This window comes from Homo sapiens, chromosome 14, assembly GCF_000001405.40.
Source record: "Homo sapiens chromosome 14, GRCh38.p14 Primary Assembly".
NCBI classification, from domain to species: domain Eukaryota; kingdom Metazoa; phylum Chordata; class Mammalia; order Primates; family Hominidae; genus Homo; species Homo sapiens.
The window spans coordinates 83,204,412-83,229,008 of NC_000014.9; the positions used below are offsets into that span (position 1 = coordinate 83,204,412).

The 24,597-nt window shown below is 36.3% G+C and overlaps 1 long non-coding RNA gene across 1 annotated transcript, besides 1 other annotated feature; it reads left to right on the forward strand.

The window, feature by feature from the left end:
* Window positions 1-597: 597 nt before the first annotated feature.
* LOC107984645 (uncharacterized) lies at window positions 598-21,906 on the forward strand. The gene is made up of 5 exons (XR_001750933.1): window positions 598-641; window positions 4,051-4,117; window positions 14,198-14,278; window positions 14,933-15,019; window positions 21,351-21,906. It is a non-coding gene; the product is annotated as an uncharacterized LOC107984645 (long non-coding RNA).
* Window positions 21,007-22,206: an enhancer, noted in NCBI's record as "MED14-independent group 3 enhancer chr14:83691762-83692961 (GRCh37/hg19 assembly coordinates)". NCBI's record gives its function as "activates an origin of replication core promoter dependent on BRD2, BRD4, P300/CBP and CDK7 cofactors, and independent of MED14, by STARR-seq in HCT116 cells {active_cell/tissue: HCT116}" and the evidence as "EXISTENCE:reporter gene assay evidence [ECO:0000049][PMID:35650434]".

Below are 24,597 nucleotides of genomic sequence, written 5' to 3' on the forward strand. Positions count from 1 at the left end.
GAGTTAGGGAGGATTCCCTCTTTTTCTATTGATTGGAATAGTTTCAGAAGGAATGGTACCAGTTCCTCCTTGTACCTCTGGTAGAATTCGGCTGTGAATCCATCTGGTCCTGGACTCTTTTTGGTTGGTAAACTATTGATTATTGCCACAATTTCAGCTCCTGTTATTGGTCTATTCAGAGATTCAACTTCTTCCTGGTTTAGTCTTGGGAGAGTGTATGTGTCGAGGAATTTATCCATTTCTTCTAGATTTTCTAGTTTATTTGCATAGAGGTGTTTGTAGTATTCTCTGATGGTAGTTTGTATTTCATAAATTTTAATTTATACAATATAAATTTTATATATAATATATACAAATTTTAATTTTAAAAAATGTTTAAATGTTTAAAATTATATATAAACACACACATATATACCCATAATTTAAAAAATATTTACGGGGTCTCTCTATGTTGTTCATTACCCAGGCTGGTCTCAAACTTCTGGCCTCAAGCAATCCTCCTGCCTCAGCCTCCCTAACATGCTGGGATAACCAGAGTAAGCCACTCTGTCTGGCCAGGAATGTCTAGTCTTCTGACAGAGGAAAAAGAGATGATAGCGAATCACATACTGGCCTGCAATGGTTCTGCTCATGGATGACAGGTGTTACTTTCACTCAAATGTCATTGGGAAAATCAAATCATGTGGCAAGAGTAACACTGATGAAATAAAAAGTATAATTTTTCAGGGAAGGGCACCATGGTGAGGGGTGTTGCAGGGAGAGGCAGCAACAACGTCAAAATTAATATGCTAGTTAAGAGAAAACGCACCATATGACATTGTAAATGAGTCAAAATATATCAATAATCACAATTAAAGTAAATTGGCAAAAGTAACTCATTTATAGAGAGTTTTACATTTTTCATGGTAGTAAAACTACATGTTGCTTTAAAAAAGAATTCTACTACAAATGCGTACAATAAGTCTCAAAATAGGTTAATCAAAAAACATACAGCAAGCAATTCCTAACCAAACCAAAGGTGCTACAGTAGCAGAATCATTAGCAGAAAAAAATAGAATTTAAGTCAATAAGCTTTAACAGAAATAGCCACCCAAGAAAATATTCACCAAGTAAATTTAAGCATCACCAATATTTAGCATCTAAAACCACAGCTTCAAAAATATAAATAAAAAATATGAAAATCATAAGTAGAAACCAACAAAATAGAAACATGGGAGACTTCATTATATTACTATGAGAAGCTAAGGGTGTGCATAGTAAATCTGAAAAGTAAAATTAAAATATTTTCTTACATAGATGTAGACAGACACATGATAGAGAGAGCTCTAACATCGATTTATATAATTTTTCACCTAACAATTAAAGTATGCGTTAAGTTCAGGATACATTGAAATTTACAAACTGGCTACAAACAAAGTCAAAGAGTAAATTCAAGTAAATCTCAAAGACCATTATAACAAGATATTATGATCTGTGACTTTAATGCAATTAAATTGGAAAATAAGCGTTAAGCAACTATACAACTCATATCTATTTATAAATTAATATATACATTAAATGTATTTAGTATTAGATGCAAACAAAATAATTTCATAGCAAAAACGTGTAGGGTGAGTATAGTGATATTTGAGAACAAAGTATCTGAAGAGAAAATTATATAAAATAACAAATTTTTTTGTTTTGTTTAGTTTTTTAATGAGATCTTTTTACATACATTAGTCTGTCAGAGAGTCCTATGTGCCAAGTATTGGAGAGCAGTGGAGCAAGAGATAGATAATGACACCATAAATTAGAAGTACCACTTTAGAGAACAAATATGACCATACCTGGTAAAGAGAAAGCTAGGCACACCCCACTATCTGGATATATAGACCATGGAACCTCTTGCACAAGCACCCAGGGACACATCTGAACGAATGTTCATTTCAGTGTTATTTGAAATAATAAAGAATTCACAAAAGGGTTCTCAACTAAAGAATTCATAAATATTATGAAACGTTCATGAAGTACAACTCTATAATCAGCAGCTGAAATTAATGAACTAGAGCTGCATGAATCAAATGTTTAAAATTATGGAACGATGTGCAGTGGAAAATAAGCAAGTTGTGTAATGATAACTATGAGAGTATGGGAACATTTATAAAAATTTTTTAAACATTCAGGAACTATTGTTGATTATACATTTGCATTCAAGGATTAAAACACAACAAATTAAGAATAGCAGTTACATTTTTCAGGAGTAGGCTGGGGAATGTGTTTAGGGAATTGTTCTCAAAGGGTTGTAGCTGTATAAGATTTTATTTTTTACAAATAACAAAATGAAAATATGTGAAGCAAATAGAGAAACATATTAAGACTAATTAAGCTGGATGGGGGGGTATATGGTTGTTTTCATCTTAGTCTTTTGAATTTGTGTAAGGCTGAAACAATGCATGATTAAGGTAAAGAGAAATGACTAAAGACATTTGGAGAAGGAGAGAAAGCCACACTATAAGTATGTGGCTTGATGTTCCCATGTATGGTTTCACCTCGTGTTTGCAGTCGTCCCTTATTTACCTTCTACCTTATCTGGACCACACTTTCATCATTTTTATCTTCTCCACACATGCTCCTAATCTTCAGCTTTTCCCCAACTAAAATACAGACTGTCTCCCTAACAGTCCATGTTGAGAATTGGCTGACCACAGCAAGAAATATTTTCTGTCAGATCACATGGACCATGCTCTCTGCTCACCTCTATAGATCCTGAGATTGGAGAATTCTTTCTGTTACAATAGTCTTTGAATAAAATATCTGCTTATCTTAGTGTGAATTTTATTGGACTGTTTTAAGGTAATGGGATAATTAGATGTGGCCCTAAGCTCTAGTCTATGTACTTCTCCGACCTTAGTACATGTACTACTAAAATTATCATTGAGGTCAGGTTTGTAAAAGAAAAGTTCAATCATTTTTTTTCTTAGCTTGATCTGAAAGGATGACAAACATAAATTGTTGTTGTTGTTTTGCTATTTTCCTCTGAGATAAGACAATCATACCTTCTGGCAAGTCTGGAACAGTTTACACTATAAAATTTTACACCTATTACAAATTAACACCTGTTCATTTTTTAGCATCCTTTATTTTAACTTTCAAAGAAGTTTCAGTTTAGATAACACATATACAGTCAACCTACTTAAAAACATTTAAATATTTAGACATGAGTAGATTCTATAATCTCTAGGGAAAGTTTAAATGTAAAAAATCCAAAGACAAAACTAATATAATGTCTATCTCCTCTTCTACCCTCAGCTGTGGTTTGGCTGAAATTCACCATGGGATGGGGCTGGTGTGTGCTCTCTCATTTCCTTCTCTTTTGTTTCTGCTATGTTGGGGTGGGAGAGGAGGAAGAATACTGGCCAAAGTCAAATACTAATCTGAGAGTCTGGGTGCAGTGGCTCGCACCTGTAATCCCACCACTTAGGGAGGCTGAGGCAGGCAGATCACTTGAGGCCAGGAGTTTGAGAGCAGCCTAGCCCCATCTCTATTAAAAATACAAAAATTAGCTGGGCGTGGTGGTGCCCACCTGTAATCCCAGCTACTCCAGAGCCTGAGGCATGAGAATCACTTGAAACTGGAGGCGGAAGTTTCAGTGAACCGAGATTGTGCCACTCACTCCAGTCTTGGAAACAGAACAAGAGTGTCTCAGAAAACAAAAACAAAAACAAAACAAATACTAATCTGAGAGATTTTTTAGTTTGCCATAGGCTGTAGTTACTTCTTTAGGTGAGACTTACTGGGCTTTGAGGTCCAGTCCAGCCTGCTTTGCTGGGTCCTAGTGTGTTCTTTCTGGAATCTTTGCATGGACAGGATAGTGCATCTTCAAGACACAATTTCCTCAAGTGGGAAATCCCCTCTGCTTAGACATCTTTAAATGATGGTGAGGTGCTGGAGGAACAGGGCAGTTTAATCCCCTCTGAATAAGCCCTGCCAAGATTTTTGGGTCCCCAAGTGCTTACCACACTCTAGTTTGGAGAATATTTGAAATTTCTCTGCCCTCCTCTTTCATTTCAGAGCAGCAGGAAATGGACCTGAATATCCTCTTAGCAGCCATGACTGGATGCCAAATGGGACAAAGAAGGTGAGTCAAGGGTGACTTGCAAGATCCTCCAGTCATGATGGTGTTGAAGTTTCCTGAGACTATGCCTGTGGCCTACTGAGTGGTCGAAATTCTCTATCAACTGGTAACTTGAAAAGCATGAATATTCTGACTCTATTCCCTGCCATTATCTTGAGAAACAGCCTCCCTTTCAGATCAGGAAGAAGGAGTCCTTGCAGAGCTTAAATGTAAATGTAAACTCTAATTTCTATTTTGATGTTAACTTAAAGCAAGTTTTGGTTTGTTTCCCTTTTTTGTTTTGTTCTGTTTTGTTTCTAGGATGTCATGACTCATTAGTGTAAACAGGAGGAAGTTGACTACTTCAATTTTCTCAGCAAAGATACATCCTAGCACTTTGGGAGGCCGAGGCAGGTGGATTGCCAGAGTTCAGGAGTTTGAGACCAGCCTCGGCAACAAGGTGAAACCCCGTCTCTTCTAAAATAGAAGAAATTAGCTGGGTGTGGTGGTGTGCACCTGTAGTTCCAGCTCCTCAGGAGGCTGAGGCAGGAGAATCACAGAATCCCAGAAGAGGGAGGTTGCAGTGAGCCAAGATCGTACTGCTGCACTCCAGCCTGGGCTAATACAGAATAGCATTTTTTAGATGGCAGAAGGTTAATTTTTAGATATTATGGAAAAGAATAACAATGAGGAGGGAAGACCGGAAGCAGTATTTCATTTATATATGTGTATGTACTATAAGTATTGTGTGTGGGAGTGTGTACAACGTGTTTATCTTGTTGCTATTGTTTTGGCATTTTAAGTGTCAGATTGAAAATACCCTCTAGGATGTTCCCCCCTTTTGTTATGCACAATATGTTCATGTAGTTTTTTTTAATCACCTCTTTTAGATAATAGTGGTATTAGAAGGCAGTATCTTTTCCTCATTCATCTTCTTATTCCCTGCAGTACAAAGAACAGAGCACTCACTCCATAAAGATGTGTGCCATCTTTAGAGTAAATTTCCTGAGGTTTGCCTTTCTTTTTACAGTTTATTCACCATAATCTATGAGGAATCTGCCTGCTGCGCGGACAGTTTTCAATGTAAATTTTCTTCTTAAATTTTGTAGCTTATTTTTCTATGTGATATAAAGAATAATAATGTAAATAAAATGTCCCAACCTGTTAAAATGTATATTTCAAGAAATAAAAATATTAATATCAAAAGAATTTTTAAAATATATATGTATGTTTTACTTTTTCCTGATATTTTCTAACGGAAAACTAAGTTCACTCTGCCTATTTTTATAATAACAATAATATTTAAGCTAATTACATGAAATGTTAAACATATATACTGTCTCTCTTGCTTATATACATAAATGTTTACTATATATGCAATTGAACACAAATGAACTCTGAATGGTTTAAAACCAGAAAAGGTATTGGTGTAGAAAATCTTAACATTTTCTTCTTGAGGTTAAATAAATAATTTTCTTTTAGAAATGTTTCACTTTGTGGACTCTTAGGAAAATGATTTCCAGCAATGACAGCAGGGTACTTAGGACAATAAAGAAAATGGGGAATAGATATGAAATTTCTAGTGAAAATGTATTGGAACTGAGCATTTTCAATCTTCCCATGTGTTTGTTATAAGTAGCTGTTTGAAATGTCCTTTTGGACAATGCTTTAGAGTTTTGCAAACTACGAGCAGATGGAAATGAATGTCTGGAATTCTTTAATTTCTTCAACTATAGCAGAGACTGTTAGAATGCTTGTGCTTCCTAGATTTTATTCTGACTCTGCTATTACATAGGTGGAAGTTTTGTATTCAACACCTGCTTTGCTGCTGCTGCAGTACACACACGTACGAATGCCTGGGTTTATCATCATTTATTAATTACTTAATCAATAAACTCTGTAAATGGTGACTGTAATTATCCCAGAAGGTCACTGAAATTAAGGAGAGTAAGGTCCCATGGCAATGAAGCCCAGGCTCACATCTGTTTATCTGAAGCTACATGACAAGATGCTATTTTTTATTTCTGCCTTGAATTTCAAATTAACAGCCAGCTGAAAAGACTGTGTTGAAAAATGAATCCATAATAAAGGGATGTACTTCTTTTCCCTTTGAGTTGTTTCTTTGCTGCCATTGATATGGATTAATGGCATACGTATACCTTAAGGGAACACAAGTACCCTTGGACTATCTTCTCTCTGGAGTATGTTTCAATGCCGTTAATGTCTTGCATTTCTAAACACTCGAGTCAATCAAGTGTTTTAGACACTATGTGTTTTATGAAGAGAAAGTCCAGAAAACAAAATAAAATTGAACATATACAGTGTGTTCCCCCTTGTGTAAAAAGAATTCTATGTACACTGTTTTCTTACTCTGCTCTCTGACTTTCTGTATATAGAACATATTGTTTCTCAAACATCTGATTGGTTCTTTAATTTTGACAAGTGCAAGATAGATTGACAGACATATGTGTTTTTTAACACATATATACGTATATATGAATAGATTCCATATATTCCCTGAAGTATACAGGGGAGTCATTCTCATCATTACTTGTTTGTGCTGTTTATTTTATTGTTTCTTTTAAGGTAGCTTTTTAATATATAATTTACATACATTAAAAGGTGTAAATTTAAGTGCAAAATACTATGAGTTTTGGCAAATATATCACATTCTGAGTATGGTATCAAACCACCAAAGTCATAATATAGAACTGCACATTTTAACACAGCAGCAACCAAATGCATATAATGCTTGAGCATTTGAAATATAGCTAATGCAACATGGTGAATGATATGGAGTTAAATAAAATATACACTGTAATTAAATTTAATTGTACCTCTTTCTTATTACCTTTCTAATCTGGCTACTGGACACCTTTAAAAAATTACATATTTGGCTGGCGTTATATTCCCTATAGTACAACATAGATATAGAACATTTTAATTAACGCAAAGTCTCCTCATGCCTCTTTTCATTAAAATGTTCAGTTCCTGACAACCACACATCCACTTTCTGTCTCTAGATTTGTCTTTTCTAGAATTTCAAATAAGTAGGTATATCATATTTATGTCTGGCTGCTTCTACTTTGCCTAATGCTTGTGTGGCATCTTATATTTTTATGGCAGTAGTTCATTCCTTTTTACTGCTCAGAAGTTGTCCATTATATCATAAAGCACCCATTTATTTACCATTCACATTTACATTATTTGGGTTGTATCTAATTTGGGGCTTATGAGAATGAAACTGCTATGTACATTTGAGTAAAAGTCTTTGTGTGAACATACATTTTCATGTATCCTGGAGAAATATGTGGGAAGGAGGAAGCTAGGTCATAAAGAAAGATTAAGAAATAATGAGACTGTTTTCTGATTTTCTGTATCTTTTTACATCTTACCAACAATGTATGAGTTCTAGTTGCTTCCCATCGTTGCCTACATTTGCTGTTTTCAGTCTTAATTTCATAACTCCTAGTGAGTGTAATGTGTTATCTCAATGCGGAATTAATTTTCACTTCCCGAATGAGAAATGTACTCTTCTCATATAATTATTTGCCTTTTGTATATCTTAATGTCTAAAATGTGTAATTTTTTCCATTTTCTTTTTAGAACTAACAAATCCTTTATTTAGAAATAAGCTCTTTATCAGACAAATGTTGCAAATATTTTCTATCCTGTGACTTCCCTGTTCATTTTCTTAACATTATTTTTTGAAGAACCAACATTTTGATTTTCATCAGTTTTGATTAATCATTTTTTCATATGGCTTATAAGTTTATTCTAAGAAAACAAATATTTTTCAAAGTTTTTAATCAAAGATTTTTATATTCTGGACTTTTGCAATTAGGACTTGACATATTTTTTGAAAAATCAATTGATCATATATGTATGTGCATCAATTTTGAGACTCTTTGTTACAGTAGTTTTATAGTACATCTTAAAATCAAATACCATGTCTTCCAGCTTTATTCTTATTTTAAAAATTATGTTTACTAGTCTAGACATCTACTTTTCCATATAAAGTTTTGAATAAGCTGGTCAGTTTCATTACAAAACCTACTAGGATTTGGAATGGGATTTCTTTGAATCCATAAATCAATCGGAAAGAATTGATGTTCTTTTTTGTTTGCCTTTTGTGTGTCGATTTTGTATCTTGCAACTGTACTACATTTGTTTACCAGCTCTAATAGTTTTTCAGTGGAATCTTTATGTTTTTCCAAATATAAGTTTATATCATCAGTAAACAAGGATAATTGGACTTCTTTCTTTCCAATCTGGATGACTTTTATTTCTTTCTCTTCACTGATTGCACTATCTAAAACTTCCAGCACTATGCTGAATAACAGTGGTGGAAGTGGGTATTCTTGTCATGTTCCAGATCTTAGAGGAAAGACTTTCATTTTCTCCCCATTCAGTATGACACTAGCTGTCTTTGTATATGGCTTTTATTATGTTGCAATATGTTCCTTCTACACTCAGGTTTTTGAGGGTTTTTCTCACAAGGTGATGTTGAATTTTATCAAATACAATTTCAGCACAAATTGAAAGGGTCAAATGGTTTTAGTCCTGTATTCTGTTGATAGGATGTATCACATTGATTAATTTGTGAATGTTAAACCACTGTTGCATCTCAGGGATAAATTCCAGTTGGGTCATGATGAACAATGTTCTTAATATGCTGTTGTGTTTGGTTTACCACTATTTTGTAGAGATTTTGGCGTCAACGTTCATCAGAAACATTGACTTATGATATTTTTCCTTTTTTGTTATGTCTTTGTCTTTTTTTGGCATCAGGGTAGTACTGGCCTCATAGAATGAGTTGAGAAGTATTTTCTCCTCCTCTGTTTTTCTGAGCAGATTCAGCAGGATTGGTATTAGTTCTTCTTTAAATGTTTGGTAGAATTCAGCAGTGAAGCCATCAATCACAGGCATTTTTATGTGGTGAAAATTTTATTATGACTTGATCTAGTCACTTGCTATTTGTCTGTTCAGGTTTTGGATTTCTTAATGGTTCAGTTTTGCTAGGTTCTATGTACATAGGAGTTTATCTGTTTCCTATAGGTTTTCCAATTTGTTGACATATAGTTGCTCATAGTGGCCTCTATTGATCCTTTGAATTTCTACAATATCAGTTGTACTGTCTCCATTTTCGTGTCTGATTTCATTTATTTGGGTCTTCTCTCTATTCTGCTTAATTAGTCAGGCTAAAGATTTGTCCATTTTCTTTATCTTTTTTCTAAAAACCAACTTTTTATTTTGTTGATCTTTTGTACCGTTCATGTCAAATTAATTTATTTCTGCTCTGATCTTTATTATTTATTTTCTTCTACTAAAATTAGGCTTGGTTTCCTCTTGCTTTTCTAGTTCTTTATGGAGCATCACTAGGTTGTTTATTTAAAGTTTTACTGCTTTTTTATGTAGGCACTTATAGCTATAAACTTCCCTCTTTACACTGATTTTGCTATATTGCATAGGTTTTGGTATGTTGGTTTCCATTATCATTTGTTTCAAGAAAATTTTCAATTGCCTTCTTAATCTCTTCATTGACTCATTGGTCATTCAGTAGCATATTATTTAATTTATAGATGTTTGTATACTTTCCAAAATTCCTCTTTTTATTGATTTATTCCACTGTGGTCAGAAAAGATGCTTGATATTACTTCAATTTTGTTGAATGTTTTAAGACTTGTTTTGTGACTTACATGGTGTATGCTTGAGCATGACCCATGTGCTGAGGAGAAGAATGTGTGTTCTTTGGCTGTTGGATAAAATGTTGTATAAATATTTAATATCTATAAGGTCCATTTGATCCATAGTGCAGATTAAATCTGACTTTTCTTTGTTGATTTTCTGTCTGGATGATCTGTCTAGTGCTGAGAGTGCAGTATCGAAGTCTTCAACTATTATTGTATTTGAGTCTATCTCTTTCTTTAGCTCTAGTAATATTTACTTGTCATACATGCGTGCTCCAGTATTGGGTACATACATATTTATAATGGTTATATTCTCTTGCTAAATTGATCACTTTATTATTATATAATGAACTTCTTCACCTCTTGTTATAGTTTTTTGTCTTGAAACCTATTCTGTGTCATATATGTATACTTACTCCTGCTCTTTTTTGGTGTCCATTGGCATAGAATATCTTTTTCCATTCATTTATTTTCAATGTGTGTCTTTATAGGTGGAGTGTGTTTTTTGTAGGCAACAGATTTGGGGTCTTTTTTTTTTAATCCACTCAGCTACTCTATGTCTTTTGATTGGAGAGTTTAGTACATTAACATTTAATGCTATTTAAGATAAGTAAAGACATACTCCTGCCATTTTATTATTTGTTTTCTGGTTGTTTTGTGGTCTTTTTTACCTTTTTTCTTTTCCTCCCATGTTCCTTTTAGTGAAAATAATTTTATCTGGTGGTTTGTTTTAATTTATTGCTTTTTATTTTTTATGAATCTATTGTGTGTTTTCGGATTTGAGGTTAGCATGAAGCTAGCAAATATAACCCATTGTTTTAAATTCATGACAACACTGATTGCATAAACAAACTCACTAACAAGCAAAAAAAAAAAATTAATAAAAGTGTACAGTTTAACCTCATTCCCCCACTTTTTTAAATTTTGTTTCTGTTTATATGTTATTATATGGTCTTGGTCTTCAAAAGTTGTTGTAGTTATTATTTTTGATTGGTTCATATTAGTCTTTCTACCTAATACATGGGTAAATATATTTACAATGTTAAAATATTCTGTGGTTTTCTTTGAACTTACTGTTACAGTAAGTTTTGTATCTTCAGATTTTTTCTTATTGCTCATTAATGTTCTTTTATTTTAGATTGAAGATTACCCATTGGTATTTCTCATAAAACAGATATAGTGTTAATAAAATCTCTCAGCTTTTGTTTCTCTGGGGATAGCTTTATTCCTCCTTCATACCTGAAGAATATTTTTGCTGGAAATACTATCCTAGTGTAAAAGTTTTTTTTCCTTCAGCACTTTAAATATGTCATGCCATTCTCTTCTGGCCAGTAAAGTTTCCACTGAAAAGTCTGCTCTCAGATGTATTAAAGCTCCATTGTATGTATTTGTTTCTTTTATCTTGCTGTTCTTAAGATTCTTCCTTTATTTTTGACATTTGAGAGTTTGATTATTAAAAATATTGAGTTAATCATTTTGTGTTAAATCTGCCTGGTGTTCTATAAACTTCTTGTGCTTGAATGTTGATATCTTTCTCTAGGTTTGGGAAGTTCTCTGTTATTATTCATTCACATAAAATTTCTAACTCTTTCTTCTTTCTACCTCCTCTTTAAGGCAAATAACTCATGGATTTTACCATTTAAGGTCATTTTCCAGATTTCATATGCATGCTTCAGTGGTTTTTTTATTCTTTTCTCTTTTGTCTCCTCTGACTGTGTATTTTCAAATAGCCTGACTTCAAGCTCACTAATTTTTTCTCCTGCTTGATCAATTCTGCTATTAAGAAACTCTGATGCATACCTCAGTATGTCAATTGAATTATTCATCTTCAGAATTTCTGCTTGATCCTTTTAAATTATTTCAGTCTCTTTGTTAAATTTACCTGATAGTATTTTGAATTCCTTCTCTGTGTTATCTGGAATTTCTTTGAGCTTCCTCAAAACAATTAGTTTGAATTTTCTATCTGAAAGGTCACATATTTCTGACTTTCCAGGACCATTCCCTGATGTCTTATTTAGTTAATTTGGTGAGATCATGTTTTCTCGAATGGTCTTGATGCTAATGGATGTTCTTCAGTGTCTGGGCATTGAAGAGTTAGGTATTTATTGTAGTCTCTGAAGTCTGAGCTTGTTTGTAGCCATCATTCTTGGGAAGGCTTTTCAGATATTTAAAGAAATTTGGGTGTTGTGATCTAACTTTTTGGTCACTGCAGCAGTAGCGGCATTAGGGGCCCCCTTAAGCCCACTAATGCTGTGGTACTTACAAACTCATAGATACTGCCTTGATTGTCTTGGATGAGATCTGGAAGAATTCTCTGAATTACCTGGCAAAGACTCTTGTTTCCTTCCTTGCTTTGCCCAAACAAATGGAGTCTTTTCCTCTGTGCTGAGTTGCCTGGAGCTATGGAAAATTTGACACGGTACTTTGTAGCCACCACCAATGGGACAGCTTTGGGGTCTTACCCAAGTCCTGCTTTCACCATGACCTGGCTACTGCCCACGTTTGCTCGAGGTTCTAGGGCTCTACAGTCAATAGGTGGTGAAGTCAACCAGCCAGACTTTTTTTTTTTTTCCTTCAAGGTGCCAAGTTTCCTCAGACCCCTGGGCCTGGGAGGGTTCAGAGATGCCATGTGGGAGCCTGGGTTTGCAGTCGAAAACCTTAGAAATCTACTTAGTACTCTATTTTACTATGGCTGCTAGCACCCAAACCACAAGACAAAGTGTTTAATCTCTCTTTTATCACCTTTCCACAGGAAAGGGGTTCTCTCCCTGTGGCCACCAACACCAGAAGCCCACGGGGGTACTGCCAATGTTCACTTATGGCCCAAGAGCTTGGAGTGAATGCTGATGGGCCTCGGAATCAACCTTTAGGGCAGTGGGCTCCCCTTTGTCACAGGGCAGGTCTGAAAATGTTATGCCATAGCCAAGGCCTGGAATTGAGACCCTAAGAGCCCACTTGGTGCTCTACACCACTGTGGTTGAACTCATTAAGCTACAGGACAAAGTCCCCTTTTCTCTTCCCTCTGCTTTTCTCAAGCAGAATGAATGTCTCTTCGTAGTGACCATGGCTGGGAATGTTCTGGGTCACACCTAAAGCCAGCACATCTCAGGATCTCACCAAAGCCCTCAATGTATACTACCTGGATATCACTGTTGATTATTCAGAGCCCAAGGACTCTTTAGTCAGCAGGAGCTGATTGTCACCAGGACTGGATCCCTCTCTTTAAGACAGTGCTTTCCCTTCTGACCCAGGATGTGTTTAGAAATGTTTTATGGGAGCTAGGGCCTAGAATGTGAGCCTCACAACTCTGTTTACTCTCTATCCTACTGTGGCTCAGCTGCTATTCAAGTTGCAAAACAAAATCCTCTTTACCCTTTCCTCCCCTCTCCTCAAGTGGAAATAAAGAGTCTTGGAGCAGCAAGCTGCACTGCCTGGTGTTGGGAAAGGGATGGTGCAAGCACTCCCTGAGCTGCCCTGGCTGATGTCTCACTTGATCATATGCCCCCAACTTCACTGGCTCTGAGCCCAGAACAGTACTAGGACTAGCTTAGGAATTGCAGTTTGTGGCCTAGACTGTCTTTCAAGTTTATTTAGGACTCTGTATCATATTAGTTCACAGTGGCAAGGCTTGCCAAAACTCAAGTTCAGACCTCTGGATGGGAAATTTCCTTCTGACTAGGGCTTATTGAAATACTCCCTCTATTGGCATCAGTTGAGTTCCATCCAATGTTGACAGCACTAAGTTCTGATGCAAAGTTCTACTATCACTGTGTTCTCTCTCCCCCAACCACACAGATTCTCCACTTTGCCCAGCAACTGCTGGGGGCTGGAAGAGGGGCAGCACAGACAATTCAAGATTGTCTTTCCTACCCTCTTCAGTGCCTCTTTCAGCAATATGAAGTTAAAAACCAGGTACTGTGATAGATCCTTTGATTTCTAGTTTTGTGAAGGTGCTTTTCTTCTGTACATACTTGTTACATTTGGTGTTCCTGCAGGGAGGATTATCTGTGGAGGCTTCTATTTGGCCTTCTTGCTCCACCTCCTAAATTATTTCTGTATTCATTCTATGCGCAACAACAGTTATAATTATTGCATTTTTCAAATTTTGTCTTTTAAATTAGATGGTCGACAAAAATGTGTTACAAACGAAAGAATCTCTTGCACTATGTTTTTATCTATGTAATTAACTTTTAATTGTGATCTTTAGCTCTCCATATGGATTCTAATTATTCTCTAGTGTACTTGCATTATAGTCTGAACGACACTGTTTAGTATGTCATGTATGGAACCTCTGAGATTAATAGATTTTCTCACTTTTTGTTTTTTTGGAATGTCTCAATTTCTACTTTTACAGAAATACAGTTCTGCCAGATGCAGAAATATAAATTGACGTTTTTGTTTTTGTTTTTTTCAGAACTTTGAATATGACATCACACTACCTCCTGCACTGTGGTTCCTGATAAGAAATCAGCCATTCATCTTACTGAGACTCCTTGTACGTGATGACTTGCTCGTCTCATATTTCCTTCAAGATATCTCTTTGCTTTTGGCTTTCTATAGCTTGTTTGATGTATCTAGATGTGGAGCTTATTAAGTTTAACTAACTTGAGGTTCGTTGTGTTTCTTGCATGTGTAGATTATTTTTAAATCAAAATTGAGAAGCTTCTATTTATTATTTTTTAAAATGTTGTTCACATCTTCTTTTCTCTTTTTCTTTTCTTCTGGGATTCCCATCATGTGTATTGAAACATTTGTAATTGACCTGGAGGTCAATTACACTTTTCTCAATTTTTTCATGCTTTTTTTCTTTTTCTTTCTCAAACAGGATACTCTTTAATTACCTGTCTTCTAGTTTTTTGATTATTGTGCCTTTTTAAATTTGCAGTTAAGAATTACTAGTCAATTGTCCATTTTACTAATTGCAATTTTTAATTCTGATATATATATATTTGTAAATTTCTTTCTTGATATTCCCTATTTCTTGAGACATCATTCTCATACTTTCCAGTATTAACTGAATTGTGTCCTCTCAAAATTTAAATAATGACGCTCCAACCCTCAAAATGACTATATTAAAAATAGAGAGAAGATAGAGCTTTGAATGAGGTGATTAAAATTAAATGAGGTCATAAGGATTGTTCTTATTCAGTAGGATTGGTGCCCTCATAAGAAGAGAAAGACACACCAAAGCACTTCCTTTGATGTGAAGATACAGTGATAAGGTAGCACTTTCCAGGTCAGTGCATTGATTTTGGACTTTCTGTCTCCAGAACTGTAAAAAGAAAATTACGTTTATGGTATTTTATTATGGAAGCCCAATTAAGACAGATTTTTATATCAAGCAGTGGGATGCTGTTGTAACAAATACCTAAATATTTAGAAGCAGCTTTGGAACTGGGTAACAGGTAGAGGTTGAAAAGTTTTGAGATGAATGCTAGAAATATGAACTTTAAAGGCAATTCTAGTGAGGTCTCAAGTAGAAATGAGGAACATGTTTTTGGAAACTGTACAAAAGGTTCAGTTTTCCTTGGTACAAAGCAGAAAATAACTTGGTTGAACTGCATTCTAGTGTGTGGAAGGTTGAATTTGCAGTGATAAAATTGGATATTTAGCTGAGGAAATTTCTAAACAGTGTTGAAGAAATGACTTTGCTTCACTTTGACTGCTTATGGTAAAATGTAAAAAGAGAGAGATGAATTGAAAAAAGAACTTTTAAGCAAAACAAGAAGAACTTGAAAATTTGGAAAACTCTCAGACTATCCAAGTTGCAAAAGTGAGAGAGGTTATTCTGAAGGGAACACTAAGGGTGTGACTAAATAACCATTTGATAAAGAGATAACTGTTGTGACGCATGGACTTAATTTTAGCCATTTTAGTAAAAACCAGGAATAGAGATGGGATTATATCAGCAAAGACATTGCCAGTTGGGAGGAAAGAGGACAGAGAAAGCAGGGTAGAATTAAAGAAGTCTGTAGAATTCATGGATTCTACAGGACTGGAGCTATTCAACTGGGAATGTGTACTGTTCTTTAAGGAACTGCAAGAATGGCCCTCGAGGCAATTCAAAGATCATCAGGGCTACCACTCTCGCCACCGTGGCCCCAGAGAGGAAGGCTGTTTTAGAACATATCTCAGTTTCAAAAGGTGAGGTCACCTCTTTAGATTCAGTGGGCCAGAATAACCCCACTACGTGCCTCATGGGCAGGACCACCTTTGCAGGAAGAGCCACATGGTTGGGACCCTTACCGAGAATATGATGGATGGGGCCTCCCTGGAAAACCAGGGGACACTGTTACCACAGTTGTCCTGGAGTGCAGAATATTGAACCAAAAATAATTATTGTCAAGCCTTAAGATCTAACAGCAATTGTATTCCTAGGTTTTGGACTTGCTTGAGACCTGTCACCCCTTCCTTTCTTCCACTTTCTCCTTTTTTTTTTTTGTTTGTTTTTTTGTTTTTTTTTTGTTTTTTTTAAAAGGTTTTTATTATGATATTATTTTACCTTGGAGATAAAAAATATATAGTAACTGAAAAAATAGCCCCTCCCCCAAAGTACATATTTCCAATGTATCCCCTTTTAATATCTTCATACAAAAAAGAATATAAAATACATTATTGATAGTCAGTGAGGCTCTATATCATAAATAAACTATTTCTTTTTTTTTATTACACTTTAAGTTTTAGGGTACATGTGCACATTGTGCAGGTTAGTTACATATGTATACATGTGCCATGCTGGTGCGCTGCACCCACTAACTCGTCATCTAGCATTAGGTATATCTCCCAATGCTATCCCTCCCCCCTCCCCCCACCCCACCACAGTCCCCAGAGTGTGATAGTCCCCTTCCTGTGTCCATGTGATCTCATTGTTCAATTCCCACCTATGAGTGAGAATATGCGGTGTTTGGTTTTTTGTTCTTGCGATAGTTTACTGAGAATGATGATTTCCAGTTTCATCCATGTCCCTACAAAGGACATGAACTCATTTTTTATGGCTGCATAGTATTCCATGGTGTATATGTGCCACATTTTCTTAATCCAGAAAAATGCTCATCATCACTGGCCATCAGAGAAATGCAAATCAAAACCACAGTGAAATAGCATCTCACACCAGTTAGAATGGCAATCATTAAAAAGTCAGGAAACAACAGGTGCTGGAGAGGATGTGGAGAAATAGGAACACTTTGACACTGTTGGTGGGACTGTAAACTAGTTCAACCATTGTGGAAGTCAGTGTGGCGATTCCTCAGGGATCTAGAACTAGAAATACCATTTGACCCAGCCATCCTATTACTGGGTATATACCCAAAGGACTCTAAATCATGCTGCTATAAAGACACATGCACACGTATGTTTATTGCGGCATTATTCACAATAGCAAAGACTTGGAACCAACACTTTCTCCATTTTGAAATGGGAATATCTATCCTTTGCCTGTCCCTCAGCGTATTTTAGAACATATCTCTCATCCTGTTTAAAAGGTTCACAGTTGGAGAATTGTTCTCAGTATAAATTATACCTTACTTCACCTGCAACTTATTTAGATGATATTTAAATGAGACTTTAATGCTAGAATGAGCTAAGGCTATGGGGATTGTTGGCAATTCATAGATCATCAAGGCTGCCACTCCTACTACTGACCTGGAGAGCAAGGCTGTTGGGATGGAATGAACATATTTTTGCCTAAAAGAAGAACTTAAATTCTGAAGCACCAGCTGAGGGAAGACTATGGACTAAATTGTGTTCTGGCAAAATTCATGTGTTGAAGCTCAATCCCATGTTTCTGTATTAGAGACACGGCCTTTAAGGAATTGATTAAGGTTAAATGAGGTCATTAGGATAGATCCCACATGTAATAATACTGGTTCCCTTATAAGAAAAAGAGGAGGCACCAGAGCTTTCTCTCCACCATGTAAGGACATAGTGAGAAAATGGCCATTTACAAACTAGGAAGAGAACCATCCCCAGAGCTCAGCCATGTTGGCTCCCTGATATTAGTCTTCCAACCTCCAGAACTTTGCTGTTTTTAAGCCATCCCTTTTATGATGTTTTGTTTTGAAAGACTAACCTGGTTAATACACTTTTCTTTAGCGTTTTAGACTTGGTTTCCTTTAGTTTTTCTAATGCATTTAACATAGGTGATGCAGTATTTATCTGGCTAGTCCAATGTCTGGGATTCCTCAGAAACAGATTCTATTGACTTGTTTATTACTTGAGTATGAAATATATTTTCTTGTTTCTTTGAATGTTTTATATCTTTTTGTGGTTGTTGTTAAAAACTGGCTTTTTTTTTTTTTTTTTTTTTTTTGAGACAGAGTCTCGCTCTATCGCCCAGGCTAGAGTGCATTGGTGCAATCTCGGCTCACTGCAAGCTCTGCCTCCCGGGTTCACGCCATTCTCCTGCCTCAGCCTCCCGAGTGGCTGGGACTACAGGTGCCCACCACCACGCCCGGCTAACTTGTATTTTTAGCAGAGACGGCGTTTCACTGTGTTAGCCAGGATGGTCTCCATCTCCTGACCTCGTGATCCGCCCCCCTCAGCCTCCCAAAGTGCTGGGATTACAGGTGTGAGCCACCACGCCCGGCCAAAAACTGGACATTTTAAATTACTAAATACTCTAACTCGGAAAGACAGATTCCCCCAGGATTGCAGCTGCTTATAGTTTTTGTTGCTCTTGGTGTGCTTCAGTGATTTTCCTCAATGAATTCAGTAAAGTCTGTGTTATTTTAGTTTTTAGGGCAACTGAAGTCTCTGCTTGCCTAGCCTAGTGGCCATCTAATGATTGGACAGATACTTCTCTAAGTGCCTAGATCCAATAAATATCCCAGGCTTTGCCAAGAAACTTTGTATGTGTTGGGTCATACCACCAATAGACAAGCAGTGTTTATAACTCTGTCTTATCCTTCACTATCTACTTGCGTAGAACCTCATGGTCAACAGGAGGTGAGACCTGAGGGACTTCAAAGTTCTCTACTGTGTATGTCCACAACCCTGATTATAAGTACAACTTGACAATTCAACATGACTTTCTAGATTCCCAGGAACATTTTGTACATTTTCAAAGTCTCCTATGGACATTTAATTCCCACATCTTCATTTTTAGATTTCTTATCAGCATCTTGTTTGCCCCAATTATTGTCACTGTTAGGCAGTTGCATTATTAAACAATTGTCATTGATCATTTTTCAGTAATGCCCCTGTGAAAAAGACAGTTTACACTGAGAAAAGTCTAATTTAGGTCAAATAATGACAAATCCTGTGAAAGAGGGTTCCTAGAGAATTACCAGACATATCACATAATAGCCATGTTCTGAGAACAGTGTTTGGAGGATTTCCAAACCTGTGTTGTCTACTCCAGTGGCTGCTAGCATTCAGATTTTCACTACTTTTGCAGGTTTGTGGAGCTAGGAAGGAGATGAGAACAGAACAAGCTAACAGGCTTACTTTTCTTACTAAAATTCAACTTTTCTTCCTGAGGTTCAGCTGTTTTTTCTGGAATAAATACTCCTTGGGTTATTGCAAGCTTTCTCTTATATTCCTTATATTCCAGGGTTCTGAAAAATTTCAAGTTTTACACTTTTTTTTTCAGAATTTGTTAATGCTCTTAAGGAGGAGTAGCTTTTAGAAGAGGCTTATTCCACCAACACCACTGATTTCACATAGCAATGTTTTCTATTTTCAGTGTGTATGTTTTCCTCAATTTTTTGTGTTTAATTTATTCCTAAGTATTTTGTATTACTGATGCAATAATTTTTCTAAATTTCAGTTTCTAATGGTGCATTGCTATTGTATAACAATACATTTAGCTTTTGTAAATTAATCTCATATCCTTTGACCATTCTAAATTTATTTACTGATTGTAGAGGCATTTTTATAGATAGGTTTTCAACACTCATAAGTAGGTCATCTGCGAATCATCCCAATTTTAATTTCTACTTTCCAATCTATGTAATTTTAATTTATTTTTTCTTGTCCTCTTTTATTGGCTAGATCCTCCAGTTACAATAGTAAATATAAGTAATTAAACAGACGTACATGTTTTGTTCCAGATCTTCAGGGGAAGGAATTCAGTTCTTTATCATCAAGTTTGATGGTATCTTTGTACATTTTGAAGACATGTTTAGTAGGTTAAAGAAGTTATCTTCTCTTTTAAATTTTTGGAGCTCTTTTTTTAATTAGGTTGGTGTAAAAATAGTTAAAAGTAATGGCAGAAATTGCAATTACTTTTACACGAACTTAATATAAATGTATACTGAATTATGTTTTCTTTTTGCATCTTTTGAGATGAACCTATGGCTTTGCTTTTTTAGTACATTGTTTCATCTGTTGTTGATGTTGTTCTGGATGTTTGTGGCATATTCTAGGTTCTTTGTATGTCTGACTAATTTTGGATCTAAATGTTGTGTATTTTACAGAGATGGATGTTAAATTTTGTCATATTCCTTTAAATATTGTTTGTTGATCTTTGATCTGAACATGCTTAAATTAATTGGAGTAGTTTAATATTTTTCAGCCTTTTATAGAAAACCTTTTCAAGGATGAGTCAAGAGAAACTTTTAATTACAGAAGTGATACCATTCCAAGGCTCTACCTTTAGGAATAGATTAAAATTACATAGATGAATATAAAATATCATTCTGGTTTGACATGAAGTTGCTTATGTTGCCCTACGTTTTAAGAAGTCTTTCAACTCTGACTAAAACATAAGCTATTCCCAGCCCAGTGTGAACTCTGGAAATTGTTCTGCCAACTGCTTTTCAATGGTTCTTTCACCAATCTCAGCTAGTTTTTTCTCATGCATGCACAGATCAATATTCAGCTAAAGCCTGGAAGAGTTCCCTTCTACACAGCACCTTGTCTCTCCCTCTGTTCAACACTCTCTTCTCTGATAGTTTATGTCAAGTGCGTCCGTGTGAAGAGACCACCGAAACAGGCTTTGTGTGAGCAACAAGGCTGTTTATTCACTTGGGTGCAAGTGGGCTGAGTACGAAAAGAGAGTCAGCGAAGGGAGATGGGGAAGGGGTTGCTTTGTAAGAGTTGGGTAGGAAAATTACAGTAAAATGTGGTTATCTATTGTTAGCAGAGGAGGGGGTTACAAGGTACATGGTGGGGAGATCATAATGAGAGACAGGACTAACTGGATTTCCTAGGTGGACTAAGAATTCCTAAGCCTAACTGGGGAAGGTGACCACACCACCTTTAAACATGGGGCTTGTAACTCAGCTCACACCTGACCAATCTGGTAGTAAAGAGGGCTCACTAAAATACCAATTAGGCTAAAAGCAGGAGGTAAAGAAATAGTCAAATCATCTATCACCTGAGAGCACAGGGGGAGGGACAATGATAGGGATATAAAACCCAGACATTCAAGCTGGGAGTGGGCAACCCCCTTTGGATCCCCTCCCATTGTATGGGAGCTCTGTTTTCACTCTGTTAAATCTTCCAACTGCACACTCTTCCGGTCCGTGTTTGTTCCGGCTCGAGCTGAGCTTTCGCTCGCCGTCGACCACTGCTGAATGACACCGTCACAGACCCGCCACTGACTTCCATCCCTCTGAATCCGCCAGGGTGTCTGCTGTGTTTCTGATCCAGGGAGGCACCCGCTGCTGCTCCTGATGGGCTAGAGGCTCGCCATTGTTCCTGCTAGGCTAAGTGCCTGGGTTCGTCCTAATCGAGCTCAACACTAGTTGCTGGGTTCCACGGCTCTCTTCCATGACCCGCGGCTTCAAATAGAGCTAGAACACTCACCGCATGGCCGACGGTTCCATTCCTTGGAATCCATGAGGCCAAGAACCCCAGGTCAGAGACCAAAGGCTTGCCGCCATCTTGGGAGCAGCCTGCCACCATCCTGGGAGCTCCAAGAACAAAGATCCACCTGTAACAATAAGATTTATTGTCCAGAAGAAGAATGTCACAAGGTCGATTGATCAGGTAAGGTAGGGCAGGGACAGTCACAGTGGTGGAATGTTGTAATGTTGGTTAATCAGTTAAGGCAGGAACTGACTGTTTTACTTCTTTTGTGGTTTTTCGGCTGCCACAGACTTCTTGGCTCCTGCAGGCCATCTGGACATATATGTGCAGGTCACAGGGGTTACAATGGCTGAGCTTCGGCTCAGAGGCCTGACAGTTTACTCCATAAATTCTAGTTGCTTTGATCTCCCAGCTCGTTCGGTCTTTGTCTCGCCTATTCAGCAAGGGTGCTATGTTTAGGTTCCTATTCTGTTTGACCTAGAAAATGAGGTCAGGCAAAGTGACTTATGCCTGTAATCCAAGAACTTTGGGAGGCCGAGGAGGGTGGATCACCTGAGGTCAGGAGTTTGAGACCAGCCTGGCCAACATAGCGAAACCCAATCTCAACTAAAAATACAAAAATATTAGCCGATGTGGTGGTGTGCACCTGTGGTACCAACTACTTGGGAGGCTGAGGTAGGAGAATCCCTTGAACCCAGGAGGCAGAGGTTGCAGTGAGCCAAGATTGCACCACTGCACTCCAGCCTGGGTGACAGAGTGAGACTCCGCCTCACAAAAAAAATAAATAAATAAATAAAAGAAATTGAACAGTACACTGGAAAAATTGTTGGGTTCACTTTAATAGTTTTTCCTTCTTTTACCACTCCTGGTTGCATATCATCTATTGTTCAATGTCTGAAAGTTATTGTTTATATTTTGCTATTTTATGAAAAGTGAGGGTAAGTCAATTTCCTGTTAATCAGTTGGCAAAAGGGAAAATCATCTTTAATTGTGTTACTAACCACATTTCAACAATTATTTGACTCAGATTTACTTTATGGTTATTTCCTGAAACTCTCATGCCCTAAAAAGATTAACAGTAAATTTACTCCAAAAGCCCTAAGTTGTTAAAGGGTACCAAAAAGTAGTTAGAAGGAATGAATAACACCTAGTATCTGCTAGCACAGCAAGGTTACTAGTCAAAAAGAATTTAATTATCATTTAAAAATAACTAAAAGAGTATATAGTTAGATTGGTTGAAACACACAGGATACATGCTTGAGGGGATGGATGCCCCATTTATGCCAATGTGATTATTACACATTGCATGCCTGTATCAAAATATCTCATGTAACCCGTGACTATATACACCTAGTATGTGCACAGAAAAAATAAAATATTTAAATTTAAAAAAAGCCCCAAGGTGATTTTAGCTTATGTATTACTTTCAAAAACTATGTGGCATGTCTCTCATAATGTCTATAGTGAAGGCAATGGAGCAAAAACAGGATTGAAAACAAGGGTTAGGTTAGTCAAAGAAAAGTGAGTGCTAAATTTCTTAAAAGCTATGACAACATTGCTGAAGAGGTCATGAACTAAAACTAAAGGACTAGCTGATCATTCAAGAGAGTAAATGACCACAGCTCAATGAGATTACTTAGAAGTTCAGGGAGAATTAATTTAAAAATTAACAGGCATACATAACCCAGTCTAAAATTATATTCAAAATTTTTGCTTTTAAATATTACAGAAACTTCAATAGTTAAAACTATTAAAAATATTCATGAAAAATATCAAGATGACATGGAACTCTGAAAAATGCAAATGAATAAGTTACGTTCTTACATGCCATTTCCGTGGAGTTGTGTTTCTCTGGACTGAATACCTATCTGCCAGTGCAAATCAAAGACTAGTGTTATTTTAAATATTTAAATGGTGTCTGTTTTCCAAGGTACGATGAACAATTTGAATCACAGCATTAAGGACATTTCTTATTTACCAAGTGCATGAAGAAAATGAAAGTTCACATTTTAGGGGGAAAGCAAATTCACACCCCATTGCAATGTCTGCTGCCATCCTATGATGTATTTTACATGGCCATTTCCTGCAGTTACTGGTATTCCCTACTGCTAAAGTATGAACACATTTTTGTATCTTTCCGCTTCCCATTGTGTGCTTCATCTCCAGATTTTCACCACGCTTCAGTTACTTATAGGAAAAAATTCAATACCATGATAAGCTGATTTCATAGTTAGAGGTAAACAGAGTACTACAGAAAGCTATTCTGCACACCAGGACAATGTGAGGTTCTTGAATTGATGTTTCTTACAAAATTGTACCACTTAATTCACAAAAGTAACTTAAATACAAGGCTTAATGCTTTTCACACAGGAGGGGTTTCACAAACACTTGTGGAGTTGAATTTTCTACTGAAAGCAATGCTATGTAGTGAAACAAGCTCAGAGGTAGAAGGGAGTTAGAGTCTAGCTGCAGTTTTAAGTGGCTAAGAGGACTTGATAAAGTTGAAAAGTTGCTTGACCTATCTTCATTTCAGTTTCCTTGTTTCCAATAGAAAGAAGCTGACCTGAATCACCTCTAAGATTTTTAAAAATCATTCTAGGAATACAAGAATATGCACCATTTAGATGAATAAACATTTATATTTGTCTGGAGAGGAATAAACATTTATATGTGTCTTGAGATGAATAAACATTTATATATGTTTGCAAGTAGACATTTCTATGTTTCACATGCAAATGTCTATATCTCTTGCCCCAAACACAACTACAATAACTGCTTCACTTAGAAATTTCTAGAAATCTTCGAAGGTATTTCTTTGCAATCCACTATTTTCTTCTATACCTGTTCTCACTCTCAGACTTACTAATGTTCATGCCAATACGTCAATGCCACTCAAAGTTATAGGCAATATTTCCAACATTTCTGTTAGTTAACACTATTAGGTCTCTGAGGCTGTTGCTCCCAATGGCCCATAGAGATTTCAGCGACACATTTCTTTTGCTGATTTCTTTTAGTATTTCTCAGATACACTTTCCTTTCATATAGGAATCAGAAATAAATCTT